This window comes from Homo sapiens, chromosome 2 (genome assembly GCF_000001405.40).
Source record: "Homo sapiens chromosome 2, GRCh38.p14 Primary Assembly".
Taxonomy (NCBI): Eukaryota; Metazoa; Chordata; class Mammalia; order Primates; family Hominidae; genus Homo; species Homo sapiens.
Genome location: NC_000002.12, coordinates 35,987,303 through 35,996,268, shown reverse-complemented (window position 1 = coordinate 35,996,268; position 8,966 = coordinate 35,987,303). Strand labels below are relative to the sequence as shown.

Sequence of the window (8,966 nt, the reverse complement as noted above, 5' to 3'; positions counted from 1 at the left end):
AAGAAAGTTAAACACATTTTACTATTTTCAAATTGTTGATAGGGGACAATTTAAATACAAATCAAAATAAACAGAACACAACAATAATTTGATTAAACCCGTAAAAGTAGAAAAACACAAGAAAAAAGGAGTATACTAAAAATTAACATAAAACAAGATAGAAATGAAAGCAAACATATCACTTTTCAATATAAATATAAATAGAATAAAAGCTTGAACGAATAGCATAAAATTTAGGTCACCTGTGAATATAGAGTGAAATATCCTGATTATAATTTTAGAAAATAGAATTCACCAGTGTTCTAAAGTAATAATAATAATATGTTGTGGCCAAATAGAGTTTATTCCAGAGATGCCAAAATGTTTCAAAATTAAGATCTAATGTTAAATCCTAAAGAGAAAACATCTCAGTAGCGATAGACTATGGTAAATAATTGAATTAAAATAACCGATTTTAAGAACAAAAATAAATTGGGAATAACAATGGTAAGAATTGTTTTACAGAAAAAAGGAAAATAAACCCTAATGAATGATAAAATACCAGTCACCAATGATAAAACCGAATACAAGAGTGTAATCATTCCTAAAAATAACTATTCTCAATTTTATTTTGCATTTATAGGTCATGCTACATAACAAAAGAATAAAGTAAATGGTACCAACCTTTGGAAACAAGAAATAAAATTATCATGATTTTCATACGAGTTGTTTGTAAACCTAGATTATGACGAGTTAGAAAAAAAGTCAATTATAAACGATAAGAGAATACAGTAAATTACTTAGATACATAATAAATATATAACTTAATGGCTTTCCTTTATAGTGACGGAAACATGTTAGAATGGAAATTTTCAAAATTATTCTAATCTTAATAGCAACATTGTTCATAAACTTCCCAGAAATAAACTAACATGAATTAAAAAAAAAAACTGCTTAAAAAACATTCATTGAAGAAAAAATGAGAAGTGACCATGCTCTCAAGGGGAATATGCACTAACAAACATAGAAATGCTCCCAAATTATTACATACATTTAATGTATTCCTATAATAATCCCAGTGGTACCTCCTGAGTTCATTTCTACAGTTCCCTAGATATCATTAGCTTCTTGGCAGAAAACAGATGGCACATTAAAATGGAGTAACTAAGGAAAGTTTAATAAAGGGATGATTTACAAAGGTTTGGAGAGGGTGAAGAGGGACCCACAGGAGACAGTGAAGCCACTTGGCTCTCACATTACCATTCCCAGGCCTAACGGGGGCAGGAGAGGAAGTTGCAACCAGAATTCCAACCACAGTTGCAGGAGAGGATCACTGGAGAACTGTGGCCTACAGGAAGGAAGCCAGGAGGGACTGGTAGCCCTGCTGGGAAGGAACTGAGGGAACAAATAACATGTCTGCCCTTCAATTTTCTGTCAGTGCCTCTCATTGGCCAAACTTGAATGGAAACAAGAGGCAAGAGATTCAGGGTGAAACAGTCCACAGATGTCAGAATCCCAACATACAGAGCAGAAGGGTAAAGAGAGGGGGGAAAACTGTAGAGACAAACATGGATATCAAATGCCATGTTAAAGAACCATGTATAACATTGCTAAGAAAATACTGAAAAAGATATGTAATAGAAGGGGATTTGTCCTACCCCAGATATTAAAACTGTCAACAAATGTACTGATTAAAAAGAGGAATGAGCAAGTAGAGCAACAGAGTTGAACAGAGGGCCCCAGATAAGCTTGAGTATACATGAGAATTAAATATATGCTAGAGATTCTATTCCATTCTGCAGAGAAAAGAATGGCTTATTTGATAAATACTTTTTTGACTATTTGACTGATAATATTTGATAAATATTATTTGATAAATATTTTTTGAGTATCAATTTAGAAGGAAATAAAGTTTGATATTCAACTTAAATAATATAAAAGTAAATTCCAGATGAATGAAAAACCTCATTAGAAAAATAAAATATGATTTATCAGAATAAACCACACAAGAATATTTTGAATAATTTTTGGTTATAAATAATTTAAACATATCATAAAGGCAAATATAATAGATTTGAGCAGATAAAAATAAAGTTTGGATTGCCAGAGATAACATACAACAAACATAGCAAGAATATATTTGCAATAAAATAACAGGCAAAGGTTCAATTCTGATAAATTAAAGTTATTCCCTAAAAGTAAGAAAAAGTCACACCATTAAATAGAGAAATGGGCAAATTGTATGTACAGGCAATTCCAGAACAGAAAATTTAAACAATAACTATATGAAGACATGTTAAATATAACTAATAGAAAAATTTATAACTTAAAACTAATTTAATCAAAATAAAAGTTTTTAAAAAATTAGTAATATCCAATCACGAGAAGGAGGGAGACAAATGCATTTCTTTATCAATCAGAATCCAAAGCAGTCAGGAAAAACTCAAACCACTCTCTGATGGAGCTGCAACTATCTGCAGGACTTACTGCTATTTATGATGAAAACATATAGACAGACTTCTTTTTTTGTTTAAGTTACTTTGAATTGGGATTTTAATACTTGTAAAATAAATTTTATATATTTATAATTTGTAAGTATACATGTGTGAGTGTGTATCCCTATTTAAAATATTGGAAGGTTCTGTCAAATGCAACTAAGTTAATCTAAACGCAATTAAACACAACAAATCTAAATACAACTATGTATATATATTTATTTAAATGATGACCTCCTATAGGTATTCAAAGCAAATGTCACAATTTTAATTAAAACATGACATGTCTGTGCTGAGATCAATAGGATATTCTTATGAGTACTGATTTTGTTACTTTATATTTGTTATTTTTGGTTCCCTATATCAGATTTCTTACCAGTTATTGGTTATCTGACATCTATTTATCTATACTTATATATTATAAAGCCCTGAAATACCATTATATTCCCTTTAGGTTAAAGAAATATTTACTGAGTAGAACACTTTTATCACTGCCTCCCAAACACAAGCTTGTAGTGGACAATTAATAATTTATTTGCTCAGCACCTTCCCACCTACTAAGAAGGTCTTCCCCTGCTCCCATCCAGGAGGGACATGGCAGCTGCTGAGGTCTTGTGGATCCCAGGTAATTCTCTTCTCCTGCATTATTTTTTTTTTTTTTCTGGTGGAAGAATAGGCCCATGACTCACACTGGGCTTGGGGAACTAGGGATAGTAGGGGCCAATTCTCCTTTTGCCAGTGAGGCCAGCGAGTGTTCTTACCAAGTTCATCATCACTATGAAATAATGAGGCTGGCATATCACTATGAAAAGTAGAGACAATGGATGGTGAGCAAGAATCCGGGTAACATTTTTGGTTATCTGAGCCTCATTGCTTAATGCACAATTGAAATATGAGTTTCAGTCACTTGCAATTAACAGACACAAGTAATGCAATCTCATTTATAGGTTTATTTCTCTTGAGATGAGTTTTGCAGAAAACAATGTTGTTTACCCTGCAGAATTTAGTAATGGATTGCCTAGCAGCACTGAATTAGGGATGGTCATGGTCAAAAGCATGGAACTCTTCTTGGAGGGGAGTTATTTGCAAGTTGGTGAGAGGAGGGTCTATAGTCAAGGACAAGGAAACATTAAGTCCACGCCACCCCACTTCTTTGGCCCTTAGATGGAAGTTCTCCTCTGCCCCGCCCCAGGACTCCTAGACCTTCTACTCTTTCCTTTCACTGATGCCCCCACCAGCTGTCCTATTTGCTTCTGTCATCCCTATTCTTGTTAGCTTGTGGAGCAGAAGATCTTCTGAAGGAGCTGCATGATGGTGAACAAGCAGCCTCACTTCATCCAGGTCCAAGTTTTCTAATTTATAAAATGGAAGAAGTTGGCACTATTATTCTAATATTATTTTTAACCTGAAAATATAATTATGTGAGTTCTGGAGTGGAAAGAATGCTTTAGAATGAGTGGTACTTTTCTAAAAACAGATAAGTTTCAAAAGGCTTCTAAATGATGTTTTAAAATAAAACAAAATGGGGGATTAGTTGAGGCAGGCCAACTTGGAGATGTGAAAGAACTAACTGCTAGGAGCAGCAAGAAGGTAAAAGCACCTGCAGCACTATGTATGGTATGTATGAGCCAGGGCTATGGGAGACGCAAGATGACAGAAGCTTCTCTACTCCCAAGTGATTCCAATGGGTTGAAGAGATTTGTTATATAAAATAGAAAAGAAAAGAAATTACACATTAATAAAATATCCTTCTTATTTAGAAGCTTCCAATTACCCAACATTTAGAATCAGAATGTCTCAGTTTGGTAAACTACCTGATGACATAAACTTCCAATTATTCAGGTCAATTTATATTTTGTGAAGGTATTGTACCAACTTGGAAAACAGCATAAAATAGCATTATTTTTGTGGAAGTATTTGGACAATTAAAAAAACAGAAAAATTTATAACCTCTCTCATCCATAAATGTTTTCATATAAAACTGAGGTAGACGATGAAGAAATTTTGAGACATAAGAAGTTTATAAAAGAAAATAGAAGCTCTATGAAACGTCAGTAAAGAGCTATGGAAGAGGATTATGTGACATAGCGTAGGAATATTATAAGTTGAAAGATAATTTGACCTTTTTAAGTCTGATAATTATTTGGGAATAATAGCCCTATCATTATCATTTGACTCACATATTTTTGTATTTGATTAAAATACACTAAAATTTGATCAGGCATGGTGGCTCATGGCTGTAATCCCAGCACTTTGGGAGGCCAAGGCAGGTGGATCACTTGAGGTCAGGAGCTCAAGACCAGCCTGACCAACATGGTGTAACCTCGTCTCTACTAAAAATACAAAAATTAACCGGGAGAGGTGGTGTGCGCCTGTAATCCCAGCTACTCAGGTGGCTGAGGTAGGAGAATTGCTTGAACCTGGGGGATGGAGGGTGCAGTGAGCTGAGATTGTGCCACTGTAGTACAGCCTGGATGACAGAACAAGACTCTGTCTCAAAATAAATAAATAAATAAATAAACAAAATACACCAAAATTTTCTTACTTAGTATTTTTTTTTTCATTGCTTAAACCCGTATAGAATATATGGTGCATTTTCATACTGGACAGGAGATTCAGCAACCTGGATAAGCAAATGGAAATCTGGATTATCCAGGAGAGTTAAGGGACAAAATGGAAAAATATGTGTGGGAGGCACTGCTATACAGAATAACCATTTGCCCTCTCATTCTCTGCTGACAGATTTTTTTCAGGCACTCACGTGAGCAGCAGTGTGCCCAGGGGAAGTGGGCTCTTTTTCAGGCTGCATAGGGTAAATCACGGTTAGACTTAAACAAGGCTAGATAATCCTATTCGCTTTCACCAGCAACTGCGTAAGGAAGGGTAGGGCAGGTGACTCAGTTCTGACCAGCGACTTAGAAGGGAGTGTCTTTTGGGGAATTCTGGGAAATATTTTTCTTCTCGTTCAAAATAGACACATGTAGTCTGGGCGCGGTGGCTCACGCCTGTAATCCCAGCACTTTGGGAGGCCGAGGTGGTTGGATCACCTGAGGTTGGGAGTTCGAGACCAGCCTGACCAACATGGAGATACCCTGTCTCTACTAAAAATACAAAAATAGCCGGGCGTGGTGGCGCACGCCTGTAATTCCAGCTACTTGGGAGGCCGAGGCAGGAAAATCGCTTGAACCTGGGAGGCAGAGGTTGCGGTGAGCCGAGATCGCACAATTGCACTCCAACCTGGGCAACAAGAGTGAAACTCTGTCTCAAAAAAAAAAAAAAAAAAAAAAGACACATGTAATAAGAGACATCTTCCCCATTTATTTTCTGCCCTTGGATGTTTTCGCAGGAAGAAATGATGTTTGGCAACATGGTAGCCATCTTATGATCCTAAGGATAAAGGCGAGAACATTGCACAGAATATGACCCATGCCCTGACACTGAAGAGCTTATGACTTTGACTTCGCTAATCCTGGAAACATGTGACTTTAGTCTTGTAATCTGAAATAGCTACCCCATCTTGTCTAAGGTATTTTGTTACTTGCAGGCAAAACCATGCTATAGGATTCAAAACTGTCATAATCCTATTAAAGGGCTTGCACTGTGGAATCAAAGTCCTGAATTTGAATCTCAGCTTCATCAATTAATATCTGTATTACATTTTAACTGAGTAACTTAACCCTTCTAAGCCTCAGTTTTTTTATCTCTAAAATGGGGAAAATAATGGAGTCCAACTTACTGGATGGTTGAAAGGATTAAATGGCATGCTGTATTTAAAGCAGTTAACACAGGGCCAGCCTCATGGAATTTAGCTATTTTTAAAATTAGAATTTGGTTATGATTAGGAGTGTTGTGACTGTAACACATGCAGCCCTGTGGCAGCTCTATCAAAGCAAATTAGAGAAAAGTAAGCACCCTCTTCAGGCTTGCTTGCTCCTGACCAGCACGATTCCACTCACCAAATGGCCCTTTAGTTCTCTCCTTAATTGCTGCAGGAGACCGAAGAACAAAGGAGGACTCTGCACCTGCTGTTCATTGGAGAGGATGAGCAGAGCCCAAAGGTTGGCTCTGTGGGAGATTGTGCCTGTTGGGATGAGTCATTAAAACGGAGATTGTGGGTGGTTCTGGGATTGAGCAAGATAGGAGGGCATTTGGGGGTGAGCTGGAGGTTAAGCCTTTGAGAGAGTCAGAGGACCGAAAAGATTGAGTTAGGAGGGTATTTGAAGAATTGACTGAAAACTAAGGAGATCAAAGTGAGATTTGGCAGTTGGGCAAAGGAAGGGAGGGCATTTCCATAGTTATTTAACTACCCAGATTGTTCAGTTTTGGTAGCTGGGTCTTTCTTCCCCACTTTCACTTTTGAGTTCAGTCCAGGGTAAATAGTTGGGAGTGAAATGACACAAGGAGGGGAGATTTAAAAACAATTCTTTCTTTCATCTCTATGCCCTTGAAATCTTTTTTCTCATAAGCTCTTGAAATATGTTTACCCCAATAGAGCCTCTTGGCTTGCAAAGCTTACACTGCTAAACCTGCTGCAAGGAAGTCAGCACTGTGAGAAAGTGTAAGCTGGAGCTCTCCAACCCACAGCATTTGCTTCAAGGTGGGATTTAGTTAGTGACTCTGAAAGCCCTGTGGCAATAGGGGACCACCCAGTGCCTGCCTCTAGTCTGCATCAATCTGTCTGCCCTTGAGGTTGTATAGGAATTAAAGGAAACTAGCTGTTTGGCTGAACAACCTCTAGAAATATGATAGAGCATCCCACAATTTCAGTACTCCACTATGAAATCTAGTTTCTGATATTCCTCAGCCATTTAGGCCACTTCCAGATTGCACAAGAATCTCTGGAGAGCTTGTTAACAATGAAGAGCTCAGTTCAGAACATTTGTGTGTGTGTGTGTGTGTGTGTGTGTGTGTGTGTGTGTGTTTGTTTGTTGTTGTTGTGTTGTTTTTAGAGACAGGGTCTCACTCTGTTACCCAGGGTGGAGTGCAGTGGTGCAATCATAACACACTGCAGCCTTGTACTCCTGGGTTCCTGGGCTCAAGCAGTTCTCCTACCTCTGTCTCCCAAGTAGCTTAAACTTCAGGTGTGAGCCACTGTATCGAGCCGAAATCTGTAGTTTTTAACAGGAATCCTTGGTGGTTCTAATACTGGTGGCTCATTAGCCACATTTAAAAAAAATGCTCTAATACCAAGCTGGCCTTTAAAATGTCTCTCTCTTCCTTCTTTCCCCCAACTCCCAAGATATGCAGCAACATTAGATACTGCTTTTGAAAAACTACTGATATAGTTTGGAGCGTCCCCACCCAAATCTCATGTCGGATTGTAATTCCGAATGTTGGACGTGGGGCCTGGAGGGAGGTGATTGGATCGTGGGGTGGATTTCTCATGAATGGTTTAGCACCATCTCCTTGGTGCTGTTCTCATGACAGTGACTGTGTTCTCATGAGATCTGGTTGCTTAAAAGTGTATGGCACCTCCCCCTGCTCTCTTGCTCCTGGTACGGCCATGTGAAGTGCCTACTCCCCCTTTACCTTCTGCCATGATTCTAAGTTACCTGAGGCCTTCCCAGAAGTCAAGCAGATGCCAACATCATGCTTCCTGTACGCCCTGCAGAACTGAGTCAATTAAACCTCTTTCTTTATAAATTACATGGTCTCAAGTATTTCTTGATAGCAATATGAGAACAGCCTAATACAATTACTATGAAACGTTCTTTAAAAATTAAACCTAACTGGAAAATGTTCTGAAATTAGAACTTTATCTTGAAAGACTGGGCTACTATTAGAAGAAACATGCCTCTCCTAGGTAAAGCAGACACCACAGAAATACTCCAGGACCAACTGATGTGGTCCCCTCAACCTGTGGTGCTCCTTCATGGGGAGAGCTCTCTTTGAAGTCAATGGGAACTGTGGTCAGATACACTTTGCAGGAGAGCAAAGCAAGTAGGCAAGATGTGAGACAAGTGGCTCAGAAAAGTCACTTTTAGACATGTTAGTACATTCATGAAATTTAGTAGTAATTTGTTTAAAGACAAGAAAAAACTTTAGTATTAAAGAGGGTGGCAAAGGAACAGACCCATGCTTTTCTCTGTATTGGAAGGCCTCAGTTGTGGCATTAAGGTTGGATGCACCATGCAGAAAGACTTGGTATCTTGCTTTGCAATGCGTTCCTGAGAGAGCTAGGAAGGAGGGTGGGAGAGGAGGGGCTTCCAGGCTAAAGCATCATGACGAGACTCATGCACAGGGAGCTTTCTCCTACAAATTTCTTCATACATGTGATGAAATGGGCTAAATGGGTGCCAAAATATAGATTTTTAAACATTTTTGGATATAGACTCATTTTACTGAAGCTATGGAATCTCTCTCCAAGAAGAATGCAAGTAAGCCCACACACGCCTGTACAATTTCCATTCCATTTCAAGGATTCATGGGCCTCCTGAAACTCATCTGTAGACCTCAAATGAAGAGTGTCATCTCTGGAATAAATATTGAGGA

General features: G+C 38.0%; 1 annotated feature.

Moving 5' to 3' along the window:
* Positions 5,438-6,637: an enhancer, noted in NCBI's record as "MED14-independent group 3 enhancer chr2:36214716-36215915 (GRCh37/hg19 assembly coordinates)". NCBI's record gives its function as "activates an origin of replication core promoter dependent on BRD2, BRD4, P300/CBP and CDK7 cofactors, and independent of MED14, by STARR-seq in HCT116 cells {active_cell/tissue: HCT116}" and the evidence as "EXISTENCE:reporter gene assay evidence [ECO:0000049][PMID:35650434]".